This window comes from Homo sapiens, chromosome 14 (assembly GCF_000001405.40).
Source record: "Homo sapiens chromosome 14, GRCh38.p14 Primary Assembly".
Lineage (NCBI taxonomy): Eukaryota > Metazoa > Chordata > Mammalia > Primates > Hominidae > Homo > Homo sapiens.
Window position 1 is genome coordinate 19081419 of NC_000014.9, and position 27030 is coordinate 19108448.

General features: G+C 43.9%; 2 pseudogenes across 3 annotated transcripts in view, besides 1 other annotated feature; one reads left to right on the forward strand and one right to left on the reverse strand.

Annotated features, from left to right (window-relative positions):
• Positions 1-26079, forward strand: part of DUXAP9 (double homeobox A pseudogene 9) — a 45121-nt pseudogene extending 19042 nt beyond the window's left edge. Inside the window, exons 3-4 of one of the 2 annotated variants that reach the window (NR_122111.1) lie at positions 11498-11588; positions 22259-26079. The product of NR_122111.1 is annotated as a double homeobox A pseudogene 9, transcript variant 1 (transcript). Of the gene's footprint in view, positions 1-11497; positions 11589-14592; positions 15192-22258 lie in introns of those variants that run through there. The other variant, NR_122112.1, reaches the window with a different exon arrangement.
• Positions 1716-11919, reverse strand: BMS1P18 (BMS1 pseudogene 18; annotated as a pseudogene). The gene is made up of 3 exons (NR_073459.1): positions 11597-11919; positions 9416-9503; positions 1716-2029 (listed from the first exon to the last, which is right to left on the reverse strand). The product of NR_073459.1 is annotated as a BMS1 pseudogene 18 (transcript).
• Positions 16175-17103: an enhancer, noted in NCBI's record as "H3K4me1 hESC enhancer chr14:19889185-19890113 (GRCh37/hg19 assembly coordinates)". NCBI's record gives its function as "activates a minimal SCP1, AML or CMV promoter by ChIP-STARR-seq in primed H9 embryonic stem cells {active_cell/tissue: H9 hESC(primed)}" and the evidence as "EXISTENCE:reporter gene assay evidence [ECO:0000049][PMID:30033119]".
• Positions 26080-27030: the final 951 nt, after the last annotated feature.

A 27030-nucleotide genomic window follows, 5' to 3' on the forward strand; every position in this document is an offset into this window, starting at 1 on the left:
ATAAAAATCAGTTGCATTTCTATATACAAATAACCTAGCTGACAAAGAAATCAAGAAAACAATCTCATTTACAATAACATCAAAGAAAAACATATACTTAGGAATGAATTTAACCAATAAGACGGAAGATGTGTACACTTGAAAACCATAAAACATTGATGAAAGAAATGTAGATATGAACAAATGAAAAGATATCCTATGTTTATGGATCAGAAGAATTAATATTGTTAAAATGTTCACACTACCCAAAGCAAATATATAGATTTAACACAATCCTCATCAAAGTTCTGGTGGCATTCTTCACAGAACAGAAAAAAACAATCCTGGCCAGGTGTTGTGGTTCATGCCTGTAATCCCAGCACTTTGGGAGGCCGAGGCAGGTGGATCACGAGGTCAGGACTTGGAGACCAGCCTGGCCAATATAGTGAAACCCTGTCTCTACTAAAACTACAAAAATTAGCTGGATATAGCGGCATGTGCCTGTAGTCCCAGCTACTCGGGAGGCTGAGGCAGGAGAATTGCTTGAATCCGGGAAGCAGAGGTTGCAGTGAGCCAAGGTTGTGCCACTGCACTCCAACTTGGGCAACAGAGTGAGACTTCATCTCAAGAAAAAAACAAACAAACAAACAAAAAAAACAGAAAAAACAATCCTGAAACTTGTATGGAACCACAAAAAACCCCAAACAGCCAACAGATTACTGTGAAAGAAAAAGTTGGAGGCATCACACCTCTTGATTTAAAATTGTATTACGAAGCTATAGTAATCAAAACAGTATGATACTGGCATAGAAACAAAAAGTATAAACCAACGGAACAGAACAGAGACCTTTGAAATAAATCCAAACATATACTGTCAACTAATTTTTGACAAGGGCAAACAAGACAACACAGTGGAAAGAAAAATAGTCTCTTCAATAATAGTGCTGGGAAAACTGGATTTTCACATTCAAAAGAATAAAAATGGACCCTGATCATACACCATACACAAAAATCAACTCAAAACAGATACAAGACCCAAGACCCAAATAAGACCTGAAACCTTAAAACTCCTAGAAGAGAACATAGGGGGAAAGCCTCTTGACATTGGCCTTAGCAATTATTTTTTGGATATCACACCACAAGCCAGGCTACAAATGGAAACATAAACAAGGAGGACTGCATCAAACTAAAAAGCTTCTGCACAGCAAAGGAAAAAACCAACAAAATGAAAAGAGAACCTACAGACTGGAGGAAATATTTGCAGATCACATATCTGATAAAGAGTTAATGTCCAAAAATCAGTAAAGAACTCTTTTAATAACAGGAAAACAACCCAGTTGAAAAATGAGCCAAATAGGAAATGACCAATAGCAAATGGGGAGACGTACATTAAGAAAATACAAAGTAGCAGACATATAGGATGATCAAGTTAGAGATCTAATGTACATCATGAGGGCTATAGTTAATAAAAATGTATTGTCTTTAGGAGTTTTGTTAAATACGTAGATTTTAGCTGTTCCTGTCACACAAAAAAATGTAACTATGTACGATGGTAGATATGTTAATTTGCTTCACTGTAGTAACCAGTTTACTGTCTATATGTATCCTTAAGGTCATGTGGTCAACCTCAAATATATAAAATAAAATTTATTTTAAAGAAGAAAAGTTTGTCTTCCATCCAGAAAGAACCACTATTGCCATTTTTTGGTATTCCGTTCCAAAATATTCCATGAATATACAATTGTTCAATCAAATTTAATGTTAGACTTTCTACTTGAACATTCAAAGCACTTAAGAAATTATAGAAAAGTGTCTGTGTGACTCCCTGTCTGCAGAGCACAGGCTGCATCTCCACTAATACACATGCCACCGGTACTTTATACAGAGTCCTTGTTTGCCTTTAGTCTGATGCCGTGGGTGAGCCTGAGTTGTCCTGTGGTCCGCGTTCCTGACCAGGTGTCTTTCTCACCCACTGGTTTCAAAAAAGATGTTACTGGGTTATAGAAGGCTGGGATGGAAACAGGATACCAAGTTCGCATGAAGACAGTATCTGAAAAGAGAGGTAATTTACTTTAACATTTTCAAAAGAAGATGCATATCCATATTGTGAAGAAACGAAGAACAAAACCTTCACTCCAAACTTCTCTACCTGGTTGCAAAGTATTTGAAGGGAAAGCTCACTAAGGAAGCTACTCCCATAGATCCCAGAACTGTTACTGGGTGTGGCCAGGGGACTGCAGACACAAAGCGAATGGGCACACCGCATAAGACTGGGAGATCTAAGGCTGGAGCTGCTCAACTCTCTAGAGACCTGACTCCAGCCTCTCGTCACACTGGCTAGAAGTCAAGCATGAATGGTAACATGCTGCCCTGAACACTACTCAAGACACTCACTGCTCATCAGCAGCTTATGCTCAAAGCTGGCCTGGAAGGCTCCTTCTGGAGCCCGGAGTGCTTTCTTGATCTGCTGCCTTATCTCGCTGACAGTTTGAATCACAGCACCTTCAAATATGGCCACTTCCAAGGCAGAATTAAACATTCCCTATGGGTATAGCAAGATAAAAATACACACAAAAAATCATATACTTTATGCTTTACTTCTTACCTCAAACATACATCCTTGGTTAAAGAACAAAAACAACTCACTGAAAGGTGATAAAATAATCAAAATGTATTTGCCCCTGGAAGTGGAATTACTACCACAAAAAGAATACAACTCTTTCATTTTTCCCAAAATAATCATGTGGGTTCGTGGGCATGCTCATCACTGCTGTCTGTGTGGAAGAGAAGATTAAAGAGGGATTTACTGGACTGCACTGGCCTAGGCAGCCTTTGCTGGCATCTCTCAGCCTAGACTGCAGCCCAGATCCTTTTACTCAGGTGCATGCATTTAGAACACGAAAACAGTAAGATAAACACTGGTGGTATTATTACTTTATATTGCAAGAACACTTAATGATCTTACTATGTGTTTTTAATAGAAACATCCCCACTAATGAAATTGTCAATAAATACTGCTCAAACCACCTTCCCCAAATACTGAAAAACAGTACATCCATTTCTCTACCCTTGCCAAGTTGTCTGCAAATGCTCTGTTTTTCTACTGAATGGTTAGACAAACTTGTGATTTTTTTCCCCTTTCTTAACACAAATCAAAAAAGTAGGAAACAAAACCCAGTGGATAAAACGACATTTTTTTTTTTCTTGAGACAGAGTCTTGCTCTGTCACCAGGCTGGAGTGCAGTGGTGCAATCTCAGCTCACTGCAACCTCTGCCTCGCAGGCTCAAGCAATTCTCCCCCATTAGCCTCCCAAGTAGCTGGCCCCACAGGTGCGTACCACCACACCTGCTAATTTTTTGTATTTTTGGTAGAGATTAGGTTTCACCATGTTGACCAGGCTGGTCTCAAACTCCTGAGCTGTAGCGATCTGCCTCCCTCAGCTCCCTACAGCTACACCTGTACTGGGATTACAGGTGTGAGCCACTGCACCTACACTTAGCTGTATCTAAAAATACATCACCAAACCCAAGGTCACCTGGATATTCTTGATCTAGAAGTTTTGTGATTCTGCATTCTACATTTAGATCTTTGATCCATTTTGAGTTTTAATTTTTGAGAAGGGTGTAAAGTCTGAACTTAGATTCTTTTTTTTTGTACATGGACATCCAATTTTTAAGCACCATTTGTTGAAGAGACTGCATTCTTTCATTTAATTGCCTTTGCTTCTTTGTCAAAGCTCAGCTAACTATATTTGCATAGGTCAATTTCCGGGCTCTCTCTTCTGAACCATTGATCAATCTGCATATTCTTTCACTAATGCCATGCTAACTCAATTATTTAGCTGGAGAGTAAGTCTTAAAGTTGGGTAGTGTCAGTCCTCTGAGTTGTTATTCTTCAGCATTTTGACTATGAGTCTTTTGCGTCTTCATATAAGCTTTAGAATAAATGTGTTTATATCTACAAAATAACCTGCTAGAATTTTAATTGGAGTAGAGTTGAATCTATAGATCAAGAAGGGGAGTATTAACATCTTAACAATACTGAGTCTTGCTATCCTTGCACATGAAATATATATCAATTTATTTAGGTTTCCTTTGATTTCTTTCATTAAAGTTTTGAAGTTTTCCTCATATAGATCCTGTACATATTTTGTTTACTGTATGCCTACATATTTCATTTTTGGGGTACTCATGTAAATAGCATTGTATTTGAAATTTCAAATTCCAGTTTTTTTCATTGCTAGTATATAGGAAAGCAATTAACTTTTAATACTAACCTTATGGTTTGGATTTGTGTCCCCACTCAAATCTCATGTCTAATTGTAATCCCCAGTGTAGGAGGAGGGGTCTGGGCAGAGGTAATTGGATCATGGGGGAGGATTTCTCCCTTGCCATTCTTGTATAGTGAGTTCTCACCAGATCTGATTGTTTAAAAGTACGTAGCATCTTCCCTTTTGCTCTCTCTTCCTCCTGCTTCAGCCATGTAAGGCGTGTCACCTCCCTCTTCACCTCCTGCCATGATTGTAAATTTCTTGAGGCTTCCTCAGCCATGCTTCTTGTTCAGCCTGCAGAATCGTGATCCAATTAAACCACTTTTCTTTATAAAATTACCCAGTCTCAGGTAGTTCTTCATAGCAGTGCAAGAACAGACTAATACAGAAAATTGGTACTGGGAAGTAGAGCATTGCTATGAAGATACCTGGAAATGTGGAAGCAGCTTTGGAAGTGGGTAATGGGCAGAGGTTGGAACAGTTTGGAGAGCTTAGAAGAAGACAGGAAGGCCTGGGCCCAGTGGCTCATGCCTGTAATCCCAGCACTTTGGGAGTCTGAGGTGGGCAGATCTCAAGGTCAGGAGATTGAGACCATGCTGGCTAACACGGTGAAACCCCATCTCTACTAAAAATACAAAAAAAAAAAAAAAAGAAAGAAAAGAAAAGAATTAGCCAGGTGTGGTGGCATGCACCTATAGTCCTAGCTACTAGGGAGGCTTGGGCAGGAGAATTGCTTGAACTCAGGAGGCAGAGTGGTGAAAATGAGCATCTCTTGTTCCAGAGCTTAGAGGAGAGGCTTTCAGTTTTTCTGCCATTCAGTAAGATACTATACTTGTGGGAGTGTCTTATATGGCTTTTATTGTGTTGAGGTATGTTTCTTCTATACCCTGTTTTTTGAAGGGTTTTCACAATAAAATGTTGAATTTTATCAAATGCTTTACCGCATCAATTGACATTATTATATAAATTTTGTCCTTCATTCTGTTGATATGATGATCACATTGATTTGCATATTTTGAACCATCCTTCCATTCCTGGCATAAATTCCACTTAGTCATTATGAATAATTTTCAATATGTTGTGGATTTGTTTTGTTTGTAAATTTCCTTGAGGATTTTTGCATCAATTTTTCATAGGGATATTGGCCTGTAGTTTTCTCTTTTAATTTGTCTTTGGTTTAAGTATCAGGCATTGAAATATTCCTCCCTCCTCTATTCTTTGGGATAGTTTGAGTAGGATTGGTGTTAGTTATTCTGTACGTGTTTGGTAAAATACAGCAGTGAAGCTATTGCTTCCAGGATTTTCTTTGTTGGTAGTTTTTATTAAGGCTTTGATTTCATTATTTGTTATTGGTCGGTTCAGGTTTTGAATTTCTTCATGGTTTAATCTTGGTAGGTTAAACTACTACAAGAAGACATTGGGGAAATTCTCCAGGCTATTAGACTATGGAAAGATTTCTTAAGCAATACCCCACAAGCACAGACAACCAAAGCAAAAGTGGACAATTGGGATTGCACTAAGTTAAAAAGCTTCTGCATAGCAAAAGAGACAGTCAACAAAGAGAAAATGCAAAAAATGGGGAAACGTATTTGCAAACTATCCATTTGACAAGGGATTAATAACCAGAATATATAAAAAGCTCAAACAACTGTATAGAGAAAAATCTAATAATCTGATTTGAAAATGGGCAAGAGATCTTAATAGATATTTCTCAAAAAAAGAAATACAAAAGACTAACAGACTTAGGAAAAGGTGGCCAACATCACTGATTATCAGAGAAATGCAAATCAGAACTATGAAGAGATATCATCTCACCTCAGTTAAAATGGCTTTTTTTTCAAAAGACAGGTGATAACAAATGCTGGTGAGGATATGGAAAAAAAGCCAACCCTTGCATACTGTTGGTGGGAATGTAAATTAGTGCAACCACTATGGAGAACAATTTGGAGGTTCCTCAAAAAACTAAAATTAGAGCTATCATATGATCCAGCAATCTCATTGCTAGATATATACACAAAAAAAGAAAATCAATATATCGAAGAGATAACTGCACTCCTATGTTTATTGCATTACTATTCACAATATCCAAGATGTGGAAGCAACCTCAGTGTCCATCAACAGATGAATGGATAAAGAAAATGTGCCTATATATGATGGAGTACTTTTCAGCCATAACAAAGAATGAGATTCTGTCATTAGTGACAACATGGAATGGTGCTGTAGGATATTATTTTAAGTAAAATAAGCCAGCCACAGAAAGATAAACTTTGTACATTCACATTGATTTGGGGGAGCTGAATATTAAAACAAACTCATGAAGATAGAGTAGAATGGTTGTTACTTGAGGCTGGGAAGTGTAGCCAGTGGGGGGACGTGGGGATGGTTAATAGGTACAAAATGTAGTTACAATGAATAAGATCTTTTATTTGATAGCACAACGGGGTAACTATAGTCAGCAATAGTTTTTTGTACATTTTAAGATAACTGCGTATAACTGAATTGTTCATAATACAAGGAAATGATAAATGTTTGAGATGATGGATAACGCATTTACCCTGATGTGATTATTATGCATTATATGTTTGTATCAAAATATCTCATATACCCCATAAATACATATATGCCTACTGTGTACCCATAAAAACTACAAAAGACCCATAGATGGTGACACCTGGGGATTTCCTGATACAATAGTGGGTTCTGGCTGATCATCCCACAGGGAAGCCACTCAGCAGCCACACAGTTCCCCCTACACACACCCCCCTAGTAATCGGCTTTGTTAGTATATAAACCTTAAAATATGTGCAGAAAATATCACAAGTCATACGGGAGATGTAAAGCAAGATCACAAAGAGGTACAACTTCATACCCATTAAAATGGCGATTATAATGCAAACAAACAAAAGATGGAAAATTAAAAGTGTTGACAAGGACATGGAGAAAATGAAACCCTTGTGCATTACTAATAGTAGTGTAAAGTGGTGGACTGCTCTACAGAGCAGCACAGTGGTTCCTCAAAAAGTTGAACATAGAATTACTATATGACCCAGTAATTCCACTTTGAGGTATATAGCCCCAATAATTAAATGTAGGGACCCAAAAAGATATTTGCATAGCAATGTTTACAGCAGCAGTACTCACGGTAGCCAGAAGGTGGAAGCAACATCATGCCCACTGGTGGATGAATGGATAAACAAATGTGATATATGCACGCAATGGAATATTATTGGAATATTATTCCTTTTTAAAGGAAGGAGATTCTGACACATTTCACAATGTGGATGAACAATGAAACCTTGAATACATTATGCTAATGGAAATAAGCCAAACACAAAAAGACAAATACTGTATGATTCCACTTATATGAGGTACCTAAGATAGGCAAAGTCATAGAGGCAGAAAGTAGAATGGTGGTTAATAGGGACTGGAAGATGACAGGAGTTAGGAATTACTGTTTTACAGGTACAGAGCTTCACATGAAAAAGTTCTAGAGAGGAATGGTGGGAATCATTACAAAACATTATGAATATAGTTAAAGCAACTGAACTGTACACTTAAAATAGTTAATGTGATACATTTTATGTTACATGTATTTTGCCCACTGAAAAAATAAAAATATATAAACACACAGCAAATGATGACCAGGCCTTTGAAGAAAGCTTATAAAACAAAATTAAGAAGCCAAGGCTGGGAGCGGTGGCTAACGCCTGTAATCCTAGCACTTTGGGTGGCTGAGATGGGCGGATCACGAGGTAAAGACATCGAGACCATCCTGGCCAACATGGTGAAATGTATGTTTAGTCTCTACTAAAAATACAAAATTTAGCTGGGTGTGGTGGCATGTGCCTGTAGTCCCAGCTACTGAACCCGGGAGGTGGAGATTGCAGTGAGCTGAGATCGCGCCACAGCACTCCAGCCTGGCTACAGAGCGAGACTCTGTCTCAAAAAAAAAAAAAAAGAAAAGAAAAGAAAAAGAAACCAAAACACCAGGTAGCAATGGGGAGAATCGAAGAGGTGGGCAGAGTAAACAGAACACAAGGGCAAGGTCAGGAGAAGGCGTTTGACAACTGTAAGAGTGACAGCATATGAAAATATCACCAGAAAGATAGAAAATCAAGGTGAATTAGATACCAGAAAATTAAACACAAAATACAAAAAATGAGAGAGGGAGATGACAAAAATTAGAAAATCAACTCAAGAGGTTCAATACCTAACGAGATCCAGAAGAAAAAGGGAAGCTAGAGGGGAAGAAAATTATTGTAGAAACAATAGAAAGACATTTCCAAGAATTAACAAGAAAAACAGACATGTACCACTAGGGGTTTATTAAATGCACAAATTAAAAAAAAAATAAGCCTACCCCAAGATTCATGATTGGAATGGTATATGCTAAGGATACTCAAGAAATTTTAAATATTCTGAAGGGGGTAAAGCCAGAGTAGGGCAGGATGGGTGAGAGACAGGTCACATAAACATGTTATTTTGAAATATAAAAATACATTTTTTAAGTAAAAAATGTTGAAGTTGGCTGTGTCTGGGGAGTAAATAGGAAGTACTGAATGAAGAGCAGTCTGTTTCTTTGTGAAATCTTATACTACCATTGGACTTCTAAAACCATGTTTCTTTAAATTTTATCCTGGCTCTCTTTCAAAGTAATGCATTCACAGCTTATATTTACATGTAAAAATATGCAGGTGAAAAATGCTAATATAAAATTATTCCAAAGCCTTTTCTAAAGTGTCAAGAAGTGCTAGGATTTACTTAGCAGAAATCATCTCAGGATGAATTCCTTGTCAATTCTGGGAAATGACTGCCAGAGAGAGAGGAATAACAGAGTGGTCACAAAACTGTGATCAAAAGACAGCCTGATCAAAACATACACTAAGAAATTCATGATTGTTAGATAGAAAACACAAATGTGCAGATTCCCTGGGATTTCTCACTAAGTTAATATTTGCAGAAATAAACCATGTTTTAACTGTTCAGTTTCCTTTGGGATGCATTTAGTTTTAAATACATTCAATATTAATGAAATAACTAAATCTATTATAAATACTCTTTAAAAACATCAGAAAGTCAAGATAATTTGACTAAGTATCTAAAAATAAACTCATTTTCTTGAAAGAATGCAAGTAAAATGTTCAGTAAGTGATTAATACACGTACCACAGGTTACTCTGGCAATGTTGTGCTTCTTTTAGTTCATGGTAGTCTATGTAAGAGTCCTAGTCTTGTCAGAAAAGAGGTATTTTACCTAAATCAGAGAAACAAAAATATAGTATTCTGTTGTTTTTGACTCCACCTCTAGCTGAATTCAGAAGGCATATTCTGAAATAGCACAGAAAAACATGTAAAGTTTCTCAATCACTGTCACTACCACAATGAAGATGCATCTAAAAACAGCATGGGTCTGCTACAGATTATGTCACTTTCCACGATGCAAAGTTTTACAGATTTAATACACAAAGCTCTCAACTCACAAAGGTGAAAAGATAACTGACTGAGTAGGTCAGCAAGCAAACCATCTCAACAAGATTAAATGAATGCAAAACAGATGCACTCCAAATGCAAATGTGGTACGCAGATTACGTTACCTGTGGCCATATGTACTAAAGAAGAGGGAGAGAACTCAAGGCCCCAGAACAAGAGAGAAGTCCAGGCCAGGCTCTGGACACTAACTAGCCATGTGGATTGTGAACAGTCACCTCATCCTTCATGGCCTCAGTTTCCACATCTATGAAATAAGGGGTCTGGTCAGGAGACACATAACAGCATTCTACATGTAACTGGAGAAATTGTGTCATGGATAGGGAAGGGAGGGTAATTAACCCAATTGCCTCTAGAGGGCAAATAATTAACAGAATTGCCTCCAGTTTCTCCATGGCTTTCTAAAGAGGGGTCAAGACTTGCTGGATGCCAGATGTTTTCCAGGGATCCCAGAGAATTGGTCTATGGAGGCAGTGCTTTACTGTATTATAGAAGAGGAATTAATCACACTAATTGCTTACTCTGTACTTTTGCTTAATGATACAATATAAACAAATACAATGAGAAGTCATTTTAAAGCAATCAAACGGGCTTCAAGTTATTAAAGCTCCTGAAGAATCAAACATTACCTCCATATATAGAATTATTATACTAGGTGCAATTAATGATTTGATTTATAGATGTTTTTACACAGGTTTGATATGCAACAAGTCTAGGGGTATAAAATCAATAAAATCTGCCTTCTAATAAGCAGTGGTTTCTGCCTTTTTCTTTAAAAATTATATCAAAATAGTAAAACATGAATATTTTAAAATAAAAAATTATTGACATTTATTTTCATTCTGCCTGCTGAATTTTAACTTTTCCTCAAAAAGAAAAACTTCTTTCTCATGCAAACTATCCCCATATCCCTAATTAGGATGAATTATTGAAGCATCCTGGGTGATTTCTGAACACTTTCAATCCTTCAATTATTCAGGTCTAGTTTAATGGCACCTGAGAACAATTACATACTGAGAACTGTCCTAAACTGACAAAGGCGACCAAAGAGCTTCTACAGGAGCATACCTGTACCCTCACATTGGCTCCAAAGTCTCCAGAGGGAAACGGACAGGACATGATGCATCAGCTCTTTTTTTACTGTATTATGCTTGGAAAGATTGTTATGGAAACATAGAATAAATAGATAGATAAATCAACCTTGCCTGGAAAACTGGAAAAAGGTTCAAAGAGGAGGCAAATTTAGACCAATATGTACCAAGAACTCATTGATTCTTACGGGAGTAGGTTATTACCAGACAGACAAGTGAAATTCAGTAGGCAGAATGATAATAAATGTCATTTATTAAATATTAAAAAGACAAATACCTTCCCTATTTTAGAAATAAGGTAGGCAAAGGAACTGAGGAGTGGAAATTGAAGGCCAGCTCTGGGTGCTTTGTGAACAGAGCCCAGTTGACAGTGGGAAGATCTGTGCTCTATGCTAAGGACATGCTCTGTAATGACAATCCACTCGGTTGCACTAAGAATTTAAGAGCATTTATATGAATATATACAATTTAAGGAAAGATAAAGAGAAAAATTTGCTATCAACTCTGTGTAGATTTGGAAAATGGTGTCAAAGGAACAGTTTCACCTGCATTTCTTTGTCTAGAAAGTTTTATTTTATTAAAAAATGTAGTCTACAAACGAGCCTCAATTTTTGGCAATAAACTCAAAAATGCTACACAAACCATCACAGAATTCGGTTTGTCCTTGCAGGAAAGAAAAAAGAAGAAAACAAACCTCCATACGAGAATGGGTCTAAAGGAACTTCCCAAACCTCCATGATTTTGCAGGAAACAAGATAAAGGTAATCACCTGCAGCACCTGGACCCATCTAGATTAACTACTCAGCCTCCAGAGGAAGGTCTTCAGGACTCAGACCTTAGTTATAGATTAGAAGTTAATCACTTATGTCTTCAGACAGGCCCTGTTCCATGTTTAGAGAGAGATCTTTGAGCACCCATCTTCATACATTTGAGAACAGGGTCACTGAGAGGGAGTCTCTGAGGTCACAGAGTTTATTAGTTCATTTTCACACTCCAGGAAAGAAGTTTAATTCACAGTTCCACATGGCTGGGGAGGCCTCAGGAAACTTACAATCATGGTGGAAGGGGAAGCAAACACATCCTTCACGTGGCAGCAGGAGAGAGAAGTGCAGAAGAGGGGAAAGTCCCCTTATAAAACCATCAGATCTCGTGGGAACTCACTCAGTATCACGAGAACAGCATGTGGGAACCACTCCCATGATGTAATGCCCTCTCACAAGGCCCCTCCCCCAACACGTGGGGATTACAGTTCAAAATGACATTTGGGTGCAGACACAGAGCCACACCATATTACAGAGCCAGAAGAGCTGAGCAGTGGGCGCTAAGTAAATGTTCATTAAACCAAACCCCTGCACAAGGCTGGCTTCATAGAGGTGCCACCTGTGCAGTGGCAAAAGCCCCACTGTCAGAGGGGACCTGAACTTGTTTTAGTGCTATGTTGTCACTGCCTTCAAATTCTTAACAATTTTTGAACAGACTCCACATTTTCAGTTAGCACCGGGTCCTGCAAATTATGTACCCAGTCCTGTCCCTGAAACAAAGATAAGGTTTGTTCATGAAGGGACTCACTCGACCCCTCCCTGCCCATCTCACTCCAAGATGCCCTAAGTAAAGGGGAACACAGAGCTAGGAGAAGGCAGTATTTGAGGATGATCTTGGAGGTCCCACCTGATCATGGCTGGTGATGCATGTGTGTGGGTGGGAGAATTTGGCTGCTCTCTTCTGGCACCTTCCATCCCATGTACAAGGCCTGCACTTTGCCTGTCTGTCCCAAGTCCTCCTACCTGACTCAGACCAGGAGTGTGGATGGGGGGGGGGTGGTGGCGGGCACTGGGGCCCAGTACTCCTGGTCCCAGCTGGAGTTCCCTGTTGACTGGGGAGATTTGGCCCCTCTGACTACTCCTACCCCATCCCCACTAGGACAGGAGTTGGTGAAGGGGACAGGGTGGGAGGCTTAACTAGTAGCCAGGGGCAGGCGGCAGGCAGTGGGGCGAAGATCAGGCTGAATTTTCCTGCTACTGATCTGCTCTCTGGAAGAGGCATTCATGAACTGGCTTAGGCTGTGGCTTGGCTATTTTAGGAATATTCTTAACCCTTCCTGAGTCACTGCCGCCATCAGACTTCTCTCCCAGAGCACAGAGCACCAGACTATTCCCTCTCCTTGTCCCCTCCTCCCCAGTCCCTGCTTTCCTCCCTGGCAGCTGAGGTCAGAGTTTTCTCAGGGGCGGGGCAAGTTGACTTCTGCCAAGGAAAACTCCGGGGTCCCTGAGCCCCCTTCTTTGTCCTGTGACTTCTCCCTCTTCATCACAGCTCTGGACTCAGCAAAGTGGCAGAATGGGCATCACCTCAGCCCTTCTCCTCATCTTATAAAATTGGAACTTCAGCATCTCTCATCTGAGGGAAAATAGTTGACCTGCATCCCCAGAGTAAGATGGGAAGCTGCAGTCCTGATTTCCAGCCTCTGGCAGAGCAGGAGCCCCTGCCTGCCTGGCTTTGATGCCCTGTTAGGGGCACGTTTCCAGCAGGGAGTCACATGCCAGAGCCCCTCATGGGGTTACCTCTGCCTGGTTTTTTCCTCCACTCCAGGTTCTTCCCAGAGTCTGGCTTTTTGGAAAAACCTAGGCCATGATATAGGCATTACCTGTGTAAGGCTAAGGGGGGTCCCACTGCGGGCCAGGAGGGCTCAACATCAATATATCTGAATTTCAAGCCAAGACAGGGGGCAAAGATCTTGGCCCAGTGTCAGGGGTTTCTGTGTCCCTGACAGCTGGGCTTGCCTGAGCTGGGAGGCCCAGCATATCTGGGCCTTGTGATGCCTTCTGACAGTAGGAGTTGGAGTTTGCCACCAACTGCTATTGGGAAAGCTTGACATGGTGATCCAGGAATAAGGCTGATGATGCCACAAAAATGCCCAAGGGCCTGTGGTGTGCCTGACAGTGTCCTGGGAAGTGGATATAGAGGATCAATAATCAATAATCATTATTTCCCTGAGAAAGGAAGCTCTCTTGGGGTGGTTAACCAGGTGTCTGGCCACAAGCCTAGGCCAGGGTTGATGGGCTGGGGCAAGTGAGTCATCCCAACTCATTCCCCCTCCTCCAGGTTATCACAACCAGCCCAGCTCCAGAAGTGAAAGAGCTGGCTGCAGCTGGGCATGAGGCCAAATGAAAATGCTTTCACTCCCCTCAAGGGCTGCAGAGGGGGCCCTTGCAAAGGGAGGGTCACCGAGCTGCAATTTCTTCTGCCTCCAATCCAGAAAGAGCCTGAAGGATTGCTCAAGGTGTCCTGGGAAAGATTTTGATTTCAAAGAGACAATCTCCCCCAGGAACTCCAGGAGAATTTTGTGTGGCGTTTAAAGGGTAAGAAGCTGCTGGGTGTGGCAGCTCACACCTGTAATTGCTGTGCTTTCAGAGCTACAGGCAGGAGGATCACTTGAGGCCAGGAGTTAGAGAACAGTCCGGGCAACACAGTGAGACACCCCCCACTACAAAAAACAAGAAGACCCCTCTTTTTACCCCTAACTGAGAGGCGTGACTAGAAGGCAGAAAGCTGGCTGTTGAGGTGGGAGTCTCTCTCTTCAGGCAGAGGTAGGGCCGCTTCCTGGGGCAGAGGCGTGGGTGGTGTGTCTGGCTCTGCAGTTCCTGATGAAGACATACTGGGGTGCCCAGGCTAACCTTTGGCAAAACTAGGAGCTGAACTCAGGAGTCCCTGATGCCAGCCTTTCTGATGCGGTCCCCCCTCCCCTCCCCCATGTGTCTCGCTCCATAGCTCCAGGCCAGGAGCCCCAACTGGCTGGTGGAGGATGTCTTGCTCCTCAGCAGCTGGGATTTGTAAGTATTTGTAGGAACATGGAACAGATCAGTGGCTGACAGGCCCAGGAAGCAGACAGTCCCCTTCCCATAGGTCACCAGCTTCACTTCCCCTTCCTGCACCCCATCCTGATTTGAGGGAGCCCAGGATGACAAAGAGGGAGTAGTTGAGCAAGGTATGGAGTGGCAGCCTCTACAGGAGCTCAAAGGATGCATTTGTCCATCTGCCCTGGGCTCAGCTTCCACACTCAGAGTCACTCACATCCCTCCACCGTCGCCACAGCTCACCTGTGTGCCCACACGGCCAAGGTCACACTGACCCCAAACGCACACTGTTTCAACTCTCAGCACTTCACTGTCACACTCGCGTGTGTACACACATGCTTTCTAATTTCCACAGCCACATGGATGCTCACACACTCACACCTTTGCACACACACACAAGCTGGCTCACAGACACACTGGGGGCCCAGATCCTGGTCATTCCCCACAGGTCTTAATAAAGGTTCATGGAAGGAAACCTGTTTCCTAAGGTAGGGTGGGAGTGTGTGTGAGTGTGTGGGGGGGAGAGGGTGAGAGTGTGTGCGTGTGTTAGTGTGAGTGTGTGTGTATGTAAGGAGCAGGAGTGACTGGGTCCTGAGTTTAGGGAGTTGGGAAGAGGAAGGAGAGATGGAGACAAGCCTGGACCAAGAGCCACTCAGAGCTGCCTGGAAGGGAAGCCAGGCTGAGAAAAAGGCAAGGCAAAGAAATAAGACACTGACAAGGATCAAGCCAGGGTTGAGTAGGGACTGGGAACAGAGTCTGCCTCCATGAGAAGCTGTCACATTGCTGCTCTGGTGCCCTGTGACAGCGGCACCATCTCCAGCTGGAGACTCCCCTCTCTGGATCTTGTCATTGTGACTTTGCTTTGTTGGACAACCAGGAGTGGTGATAGGCAGGGAATATGGTGCCCAGGTCAGCTAGCCATGCCACGCCAGTCCAGCTGCCAACCCACCCGTCACTGGCCATCTCATCACCTGCTGGAGGGAGTGGGGTGGTGCAGATGAAACCAGCGATCAGCTTGGCTGCCCTTGCTTCCTAGTGCCACAGTAGAGGCTAGGGGAGCAACTGGCTTTCCTCCCCAAAAGGCGGGCAGGGTTATCCACACTTTGCCCAGGTCCCTGAAGCCTGCGGCTGAGCTCGGGGATAACAGGGGCCAAGTCACCGGTCCCAGACACCTAGGAACTATTAGAGACAGGAACCAGCATATGAGACAGGGGCTTTTAAGTAGGAGGTTGGAGAACACACGTTTTTGGTCTAAACCGGGGGCCCCTCTCTTTGCCCACTGAACCCGCGGCCTGCGTGGTGCTGAGACTGCCTCTGGCCGCGTCCGCTTGGGACAGGGCCTGAGCGGTGGCTGATCCCACCTGGATGTCCTGGGCCGGCTCCCACCCGACGCCCACCATCCCGGGACGTGGTGGGGAGAGGCTGGCGCTGCTCCTTGCCATGCTTGGCGGCCGCTGCTGCCCGGCTGGGGGTCCCGAGTCGCACACGCCCCGCAAGCCCTGGCCACCGACCCGGAGGGAACGCCCTGGGCTACGGTCCCCAAAGCCAAGAGAAGAAGCAGGTCCCAGGGCCGACTCCAAAGCCGCATCTCCAGCTTTGTTCATGGGTCCGGGAAGCAGAGGCCGCCGCCGGCCACCGTCGTGGGCGAGAAGAAGGGCACGAGGCGGCCGGGGCTCCTGCCCGGAACCACATGTGCGCGCCGGGCCCGCTTCTTCATCGCACTTGCGGCCCCGGCTGCCCGGGGCCTGCGAGTTTCCAGCCAGGGCCCGGGACTCTGGCGCGGTCCGGCCGCGAGGAAGGAAGGCGCGGCCCGGGTGGGGGTAGCGGCAGGCCTGCGGCTCCGGCCACGGGGCGGGGGCAGAAAAACGACCCCGGCGCTGTCCGGGCATCCAGCTCGGTTCCCGCTGCAGCCAGGAGACTCCCGGGAGCGCTCTAGGAACCACAGAGCCCTGGAAGTCACCTGGCAGCCTCGCGGCGCTAAAGCCGGCGGAGCCTGAGACAGCGCGCGGCGAGGCGGTCACGCTCCACCCCCGCGTGGCAGCAGGACTCGGATTTCGCCCCTGGTTTTAAAATTGTGCCGGTGGAGCCCGGGACGCTGGGAAGAGCGTTCTGCGCCCCTCCAGTCGCGGTCTCCGCCCTAAACCGACTTCCAGAGCCGCCTCTGCTCCCTGGAGGGGCGCAGTGGCGGACACCGGCGTCCCACGAAGTCGCAGGTCCTCAGTCTGAGGGCTGCCCCGCACGCTCGGAATGCAGGAGGGTCTCCGCCTCGCTGCGCTGCCCCTGGGGGCGGAGGCGTGCGCTGCAGGCGAGAGAGGCGGCCCGGTATCGATGGAGAAGCACAGAGGGCTTTGAGGTCGCAACGTCCCGGTTGCTGAGCGGAGTCGGGAGTCAGGTTCCAAAGGGACAGCGCTCAGGGTTGTAATCACCACCCGGCCCACCGCTTCCGCAGCTGCGAGTCTAGGGCGGAGCTGTTGGGTGGACCGAGCAGGCGAGGCGCAGGCAGGCAGCGGCTCCGCCTCGGAATCCGCCTCGACCGGGGCCCAGGTGCCCGCCCCACCTGTCCCTCGGTCACCCCAACCCTGTTTCCTCGACCCCCAGCACTCCTCCAGGCCTAGTTCGCTTCAGAAGCGCAAGACCCGGAAAACAAGGAAGAAGCGAGCTCAGCCTCAATCCCCGTCCCCACCCCACTTTCGGGACCGCTACGCTGGAGAATTGAAGGGGGCGGACCCCGGATTAAAGCCGCTCCCTTCCCAGCCTCGCCCCGCTTTCCTAATGTCCGTGATGATTTCGTTATTGGCAGGGAAGAGCCAGGCTCCCTGCGCTCCCAAGACGGGGCGATTGGGAGGGGGTTCTGGAGCTCACGCCTGGGGTCGGCCCGGCGGGGGTGACCCCGCGCCCTCGCCGGTGCAAGGAGAACAGGTGGTTCCCGCCGGGGCAGGGAAGCGTGGACGGTGTGGGCTCAGGCGCCTGGCAGGCACGCGGGGCCTCTAAAGCTTGGTCGCTGTCACAGATCGTGTGGTTGTTTCTTCCGTCCCCGCCACGCCTTCCTCCTGGGATGGGGATTCATTCCCTAGCAGGTGTCGGAGAACTGGCGCCCTTGCAGGGTAGGCGCCCCGGAGCCTGAGGCGGGAACTTTAAAATCAGACGCTTGGGGGCCGGGCTGGGAAAAACTGGCGGAAAATATTATAACTGAACTCTCAATGCCAGCTGTTGTAGAACCTCCTGGGACAAGCGGTGGAAGTCCCCTCAGGAGGCTTCCGCGATGTCCTAGGTGGCTGCTCCGCCCGCCACGGTCATTTCCATTGACTCACACGCGCCGCCTGGAGGAGGAGGCTGCGCTGGACACGCCGGTGGCGCCTTTGCCTGGGGGAGCGCAGCCTGGAGCTCTGGCGGCAGCGCTGGGAGCGGGGCCTCGGAGGCTGGGCCTGGGGACCCAAGGTTGGGCGAGGCGCAGGAGATGGGCTCAGGGTTCTCCAGAGAATCCCCATGAGCTGACCCGCAGGGCGGCCGGGCCAGTAGGCACCGGGCCCCCGCGGTGACCTGCGGCCCCGAAGCTGGAGCAGCCACTGCAAATGCTGCGCTGACCCCAAATGCTGTGTCCTTTAAATGTTTTAATTAAGAATAATTAATAGGTCCGGGTGTGGAGGCTCAAGCCTTAATCCCCAGCACCTGGCGAGGCCGAGGAGGGAGGATCCCTTGAGCCCAGAGGTTCGAGACTAGCCTGGGCAACACAGTCAGACTCCATCCTTCCAAAACAAACAAACGAAAATAAAACAAACAGAAAACGAAATTAGCCGGGTGTGGTGGTGCGGGCCTGTGGTCCCAGCTCCTCGGGAGGCTGAGGCAGGAAGATGGCTTGCGACTGCACCACTGCATTCCAGCCTTCGCGACAGAGCAAGACCCTGTCTCGAAAAATGTGTATGTCTGGGTAAGTGTATAGATTTTACAACTATTTTGAAGGCGACCTTTTTAACTTTAAACAGACCACTCTGGAGGAGACGCCTGACCCAGAGCGCTTTACCTAAAGTTCGGTGCCTAAAGTGCACCCTTCCTCTGGCTGGTGTCTCCCTTCTGCCAAGCTATGCCTCCTGCAGAGGTAGGCTCCGTGGTGTCTCCCACTCCGCCCCAACTGGAGAACGGTGTAAAGAACTGTCAGCCGGGTGCAGTGGCTCACGCCTGTAATCTCAGCACTTTGTGAGGCCGAGAGGGGCGGATCACTTGAGGTCAGAAGTTCAAAACCAGCCTGGCCAACATGGTGAAACCCCGTCTCTGCTACAAAAATTAGCCAGGCGTGATGGTGGATGCCTGTAATCCCAGCTACTCAGGAGGCTGAGGCAGGAGAATTGCTTGAACCCGGGAGGCGGAGGTTGCAGTGAGCAGAGATGGCGCCACTGCACTCCAGCCTGGGTGACAAGAGCAACTCCGTCTCCCAAAATAAAAAGAAGAATTGTCAACAAGAGGGAGTGGCAATTCAGAAGCATATTTAAGCCAAGTCCTCAAGACTAGAAAGCATGAAGCAGGGGAGGCGTTTTGAAAGCATAAGAACAATAGACCATGGGCATGGATGGCCGAGTCTGGGGATCAGCATCGTAATTTGTTGAGAAGGAGGCCGTGCTGTGCTGCCAGTTATTAATTGGTTTAATCGGTTGATACACAGCCCTACTGGCCTAACCAGTAGCCCAGGGCCCTGGAGGATTTGCAGTTCGTGTCAGAATTTGATTGCAGTTCCTTCCACTTGGCATAAGGAGACACTATCAGCCTGATTGGGAGGGTGATGGTGGGATGGAGCCTGCCGAGGTGGCGGCGCTGAGCTGACCACACCACCGGCCATAGAGTGGGAGCCTTTCCTGCCCGCTTAACTGCAGCTAATATCAAAAGCACTGGTATGGGCTGTCTATCTGTGCTGGAACCTGAGTTTATCTTTGTCTGCAATTACGATTCTTCTGGGTTTATTTTGCCAGCTCATTATCCAGCCCCCTGGAATCAGGCCTCCCAAATTTAGCAGGTGCTGGGGAGGACCCTAGGGAGTGGTGTATGGGGGCTAGCTGGTGAAACTGCCCTTTCCTTTCTGTTCTATGAGTGTGATGGTGTTTGAGAAAATGTGGGGCTATGGTTCAGGCGCACTTCACATGTGCAAAGATGGAGAAAGCACTCACCTACACGTTTAGGCTCAGAATATTGATTGAAACATTTTGAATGATCAAAAATAAAATGTTATTTTTAAAGTTTCTCTCTGAGATTTTGCTTAAGTTTTGGTAGATATTCTTAAGTTTTAGTGACCTCAGTTTGGGAGTTAAGTAAGCTAAACATTGTGTCCTTATTATTAGTTATATAAAACTATGCTTTAGACTTTGTTAGAAACTTCTGCCCCACCTTGACTGACTCCTTTTCCATTTCTGGTTGTACAAAATGAATTCACACTTTAATGCTATGGCCACCTTTAAATAAAGTACAGCGTGACTAAAAAAAAAAAAAAAAAAAAAAAAAAAAAAGAACCAGTACAAATGTTTTCAGAGACAAATGCATTCTCTGACATCTGAGGTTACAGCAAATCTCTTCTTCACCTGTTTGCTTGTTTAGAGTTGTAATATTTGTTTTGGTGTAGAGCTGAAGACATAAATTGGTAACCAATGGAATTATCTGGCCTCAGACTTTATTTATTTTCATCATTTATTTCACTGATGTGCAAATTTATTCCGTACCAGCAAATGTCAATTTAATTATATTCTACAGTACACAGTGAATCATGTATACTTAGTTAAGTTGTAAATACACTAAACCATATAAACTCACAACAGTATATCAGCTCATGATGGGTAAATGACTTTTCCCTGAGAAAGAGTATCTGTTTAACCTGCATGATCTCACTCTTTAGTATTTGCTTCTTTAGTCTACGTTTGTTTCCTAGTTTTGAATATAATCATGATATGGAGAGACAAGTGAAATCACCACAATTTTGTTTTCCAAAATGTGAGACTATGCAAATGCTGAAATGAGAATTAATACATCCAAAATATCGAACCACAATTATGGCTTTGCTTTACTTTTTGCCCGTAAGAGACATGTGGCCTAGAATAGGTGGCAGGTATTCCTACCACAACCTTGCTTAGCATAGTGGTTGACTAAATACAAATTTTAGAGATGAAGGTTGTTCTATACCCAGATTTCAATGTGATTGCTATGCCCACTTCACTTTCTCTAAAATACATATTTTTCTTACTTCTCACTTTCCTTTTCTTCTTGGTTGACATTTTTTGGCTCAGGGATTTTTTTTTTCCTTATGATCTCAATAAATTTTTCTCATATAAAAAGACGTAATCGTGCTGGGAGCGGTGGCTCATGCTTATAATCCCAGCACTTTGGGAGGCTGAGGCTGGTGGATCACCTGAGGTCAGCAGTTAAAGATGAGCCCGGCCAAAATGGTGAAACCTCATCTCTACTAAAAATACAAAAATTTGCCAGGTGTGGTGGCAGGCACTTGTAATCCCAGCCACTCGGGAGGCTGAGGCAGGAGAATCGCTTGAACCCAGGAGGCAGAGGTTGCAGTGAGCCAAGATCATGCCATTGGACTCTAGCAGGGTGACAAGAGCAAAACTCCATCTCAGGAAAAAAAAAAATCATAAATTTTCCCATATTAAAAAAATAACACAAGATCCGGAATACAGAGAGGAGCATAATGCTTTGCAGGTCATAGATGTAATCTTTCTTCCAGGAAAAATGTATTTCAGATGAGACCAGAATTGGAAACATATTCTGTGCCGTCAGATAGCACTGGCTTAGGAGATGAATGAGGAGGAGCCTGCAGGCTACCTCAAGGATAAGAAGCAGGCAAAAGGCAAGCACAGGGGTGGCATGCACTCACACTGGGGCTGCTCCTTCCTGGGCAAGTTTCAGAAACTCACTGACAGTTAGAGCTAGCAGCTCCCGTAGAGATGAATGCCCATGTTTTCCCGAAGGGAGAACTGATGCTTAGAAAGGCTGAATGACTTGTCTAAGACTCTGGGGCCAGAACAGGGATCTTATTCCAGTATTTCTTGCATGAAGCCATTCTACTTCCACGTTTCTAATTTATAACTTTTAAAAGGTCATTTTAAAAATGAAATAGCATAAACATCAAGTCTGGAGGCTAGTGGTGGGATTATTCACATTTATTTTTCCACTTGACATTTGAGGGCAATAGTGATGCTTAAGTAAAACCAAAATTATCCTGGGAGTATAGAAAATAATATATCTGTTTACATTTTGGTGTGGGATGAGTAGAATCTTGTTTTCAAATTCCTTGCTTGAAAGGCTATTAAGAAGAATAAATCCTCACTTAACAGTTTTCTAAATCCTTGGTGGTGTCCTCTGTCCTTTGGTAACACGTGAAAGTAGAGCACACTTTTCTACTTTTGTTCCTTCTGCACCCCTCATAAGGTGAAGCATGCATAGAGCACTCCCAGGGTCAGTGTGAGCCCAGCAGCAGCTCAGGCTGCCGATGCTCCAGAGTCGGATTCCACCTTCCACTTAAATGGCAGCCACAGGTAGACGTGCCCATCACAACCAACTCTGTGCGTTCATAATTTCTGTTTATTCTACAGGTGGTTTCCACAAGAAAAATGGCACAATGTTTCTCAGAAGACAATTACATAAGAATCAGCATACTTCAAATTCACAGCAAATAATCAGACAATTGATGAAAATACTTACCCAAACACTAATTGTAGACTATGCCTTCTGAATATGTTTGTCATAAACTTGGAGTAAGGAATCCTCACAGGCACTGGACAATTCAAAAAACGTAAAGTTGTTTGTTAGAATACTGGTGCTTTTGGGTAGAAACCCTCATCCATATCCTGGTAAGGCTTGAAGTTGCACAGGAGTTTTCATTTGTCAAAACCCAGAAAACCATAAGCTTTAGATTTGTGAATTTTATATTGTATTATATGTGACCTTTCTTTTTAAAAAATGAGCTGTAAGCAGTCTCCCAGACAGTAGCTCAGCCTCCAGAACTCTCTTTCTGCATAGTTGAAGACCCCTCTTCACACAAGATGGTAGCAACAAATCATAGGTGCAATTGCACCAAATTCACAGAAGATCAATTGAAAATCCTCATCAATACCTTCACTCAAAAACCTTACCCAGGTTATGCTACCAAACAAAAACTTGCTTTAGCAATCAATGCAGAAGAGTCCAGAATCCAGATTTGGTTTCAGAATCAAAGAGCTAGGCATGGATTCCAGAAAACACCAGAACCTGACTTTAGATTTAAGCCACAGCCATGGACAAGATTAACCTGGTGTGGAGTTTCAAAATAGAGAAGCCAGATGGTGTTGTACCACCTATAGCACCTTTCAATTACACACAGTCATCCATGCATTTATGAAAAACCCATACCCTGGGATTGATTCCAGAGAACAACTTGCTGAAGAAATTGGTGCTTCAGAGTCAAGAGTCCAAATTTGGTTCCAAAATCGAAGATCTAGATTTCATCTCCAGAGAAAAAGAGAACCTGTTATGTCCTTAGAATGAGAAGACCAGAGAAGACCAGGGGCAAGGTTTCTGAGGGACTTCAAGGTACAGAAGATACACAAAGTGGCACCAGCCTCACTAGCACTCTCATTTCTCAAGAGCCAGAACATGGTGAATACAATCAAGTTCAGTGTATTTGATAATATCAATTTGGGCCCCAAATCTCTCTCACAGTCTTCCTGGGAGTCTATTCTTCTTCCAAAAGTGCAAGCTAAGCCTTCTGAAGATGGTAAAGAACTTGGCCGGGTGTGGTGGCTCATGCCTGTAATCCCAGCACTTTAGGAGGCTGAGGCTGGAAGATTGCTTGAGCCTAGGAGTTTGAAACCAGTCTGAGCAACATAGTAAGACCCTGTCTCTATTCTAAAAAACAAAATAAGTAAAAAGGACTGTAGGAGGCCAAGACAGGTACAGGAGGCACCACACTACCCTGTTGACACAGCCTGGATCCAGAGTTCAGCAGACCTTGAGACAATGAAAACAAACTTAGTAATAATCATTTTTCAATCATTGCAGTAATTATTGATTTGGACAAAAATCAATTGACGTCAAAACCTTAAAGTGACGTTTCTCTGCCTATGGAGTGGTCATTCTTTTATTCCTTTAGTTTCATAATAAATTTTCTTTTACTTAAAAAACTTATAGTTTGATGAAGAGTGAGATATATACCTCATCTCAAAGAATCTTCACACACACACTTATTAATTACAAAAGGAAAATCAGTAATTTTGCAGTGGAGACATATGGCCAACTCCACCTTACCCAAGTGGCTGAAAGTCACTGCACCAGTAATGGCACAAACCAATGTGAGATGATTCCTGATATGATACACTAAAAAGGGCACTGTCTCTTCTGCATGTTGCAGACAAAAAGTGGGTAAGCTGAAACTGAAACTAATAATTAGGCAATGTCAAGCAAATACAAATTCAGGTTGACAGTCTGCAAAATAACATCCATGTACTCTTCAACAATGGATCGACCCTAGCTACTCAGGAGGCTGAGGTGGAATAATTGTTTGAGGCCAGGAGTTCCAGATCAGCCTGGGCAACATCATGCGACCCCATCTCTAAAAACATCTTTTTAAAAATGAGCCAGGTGTGGTAGCATGCACCCGTAGTCTCAGCTACTCAGGAGCCTGAGGCAGGAGGATGGTTTCAACATAGGAGATCGAGGCTGCTGTGAGCTATGATCGTGCTACTGCACTCCAGCCTGGGTGACACAGCAAGTTCCTGTTTCCAAACAACAACAAGAAAACAAAACAAAACAAAACAAAAAATAGATAGAATAGTGACAATAAAAATGGAGAAAAAGTAGGCTGACTCAGGAAATGCTTAGAAAGTACAGCCATACCTCAAAGATATTGTAGATTTGATTCGAGACCACCACAATAAAGCAGATATTGCTACAAAGTGAGTCACACAAATTGTTTTGTTTCCTTGTGAATATGAAGTTATATTGGCTGGGTGTGATGGCTCATGCCTATAATCCCAGTACTTTAGGAGACGGAGGCGGGAGGGTCACTTGAGCCCAGGAATTGTGAGATCAACCTGGGCATATAGGGAGATCCTGTCTCTATTTAAAAAAAGAAGCTATGTTTACACTACACTATAGTCTATTTAAAGTGTGAAATGGCGTTATGTCCTTAATTTTAAAACTCTTGATGCTGGCTGGGTTCGGTGGCTCATGCCTGTAATCCCATCACTTTGGGAGGCCAAGACAGGTTGATTACTTGAATTCAGGAGTTCAAGACCAGCCTGGACAACATGGCAAAACACGTCTTTAAAAAAAGAAAAGAAAAAAGAAAAACAGAAAGAAAAAGAAGAAAAACTACTTGCTGCCCTTACTTGAAGCTCAATTATTTAAAACAAAGAAAAAATAGAAAAATCTTTTATTGCTGAAAATGCTAATGATCACCTGCGCCTTCAGGGAGTCTTAGTCTTTTTGCTGGTGAAGGGTCTTGCCTTGATGTTGTTGGCTGCTGCCTGATAAGGGCGATGGTTGCTGAATATTGAAGTGGTTGTCACAATTTCTTAAAAGAAAACAATGAAATTTGCCACATTAACTGACTCTTCCTTCCACAAAAGATTTCAGTGTACCATGCGATACTGTTTGATAAGCATTTTACCCATAGTAGAACTTCTTTCAAAATTGGAGTCAGTCCTCTCACACCCTGCCACTGTTGTACTATGTTTATCAATATTCTAAATCCTTTGTTGTAGGCTAAACAATATTCACAGCATTTTCACCAGGAGTAAATTTCATCTCACAAAACCACTTTCCAGGCTCTTTCTGGACTGTAGAGTTCTTTCCAGGCTACCTTGTGGCAGTTTAAGAGTCTGGCATCATTTTCCGCTGGGACCTAAGGATCGAGGAGGTGCTTGTGACTAGACTGCCAATGGACCCATCACAAAGTTTAACCCAACCTTGATCCCCGAGTCTTCACAAATGCTCACTGAAGAAAATTCCTAGAACAATTCAGGGTCCTTTCATAACCTCTACTCTGAGGTGTTAATAAAAAACCTTAGTAACTTAAAAAAAATGAGCTGTACACAAATACTGAACAATAATGCTACATATGTTAAGTATGTAAGAAAAATATATACTTTGACATAAATAAGAAACGGTGAGTTGATAATTGGATAGAATGGTGGATAGAGTGAGAGATATGTAGTAAAGCAAATATAACAAAATGATGTACAATCTAAGTGGTTGGACTATAAATATGCACTTCCCACAACATTTTTATATGTTTAAACAGTTTTATAATACCATATTAGGGAAACTGTTTGTCTCAAGGAAATAGAGATTGTGATATATTCTAGTACAATGAAGTGTAATCATGTAAAATAAAAGCTTTTACTTCTGGCAATTAAAGTTAGTCATGTTAGAACACTGTCTAGGAATGGTTGGAAAATCATATTTTATTTTCTAATCAATATATTTATGTCATCTGTCAATCAGAATTACACTGACTTTAAAAAGCAATAATATGACTGTATATTCATGATGAAATATAGCCTAAGAACAAAATAATGCACAAAAATAATCTCAGATTGCTTATTATTTTTCAGAAGGCTGTATTTTTAGTCTTAGGCTATTGGTTTGTCTTATATTGCAGGATTTTAAAAAAATGATTAGTTCCCAGCACTTTGGGAGGCTGAGATGGGCAGATCACCAGGTGAAGAGGTTGAGACCATCCTGGCCAACATGGTGAAACCCCCTCTCTACTAAAAATACAAAAATTAGCTGGGCGTGGTGGCATGTGCCTGTAGTCCCAGCTACTTAGGGGGCTGAGGCAGGAGAATTGCTTAAACTCCAGAGGTGGAGGTTGCAGTGAGCCGAGGTGGTGCCATTGCACTCCAGCCTGCTGACAGAGTGAGACTCCGTCTCAAAAAAAAAAAAAAAAAGAAAAAGAAAAAAAAAAGAGAGTAGTTATGGGGCTGGGCACGGTGGCTCATGCTTGTAATCCCAGCACTTTGGGAGGCCGAGGTGAGTGGATCACGAGATCAGGAGTTCAAGACCAGCCTAGCCAAGATGATGAAACCCCCATCTTTACTAAAAATACAAAAAAATCGGTTGGGCACAGTGGCTCACGCTTATAATCCCAGCACTTTGGGAGGCTGAGGCGGGTGGATCACGAAGTCAGGAGATCAAGACCTACCTGGCTAACACGGTGAAACCTTGTCTCCACTAAAAATACAAAAAATTAGCCAGGCATGGTGGCACGTGCCTATAGTCCCAGCTGCTCGGTAGGCTGAGGCAGGAGAATGATTGCACCACTGCACTCCAGCCTGGGCAACAGAGCGAGACTCCGTCTCAAAAAAAAAAAAAAAAAAAAAAGCGC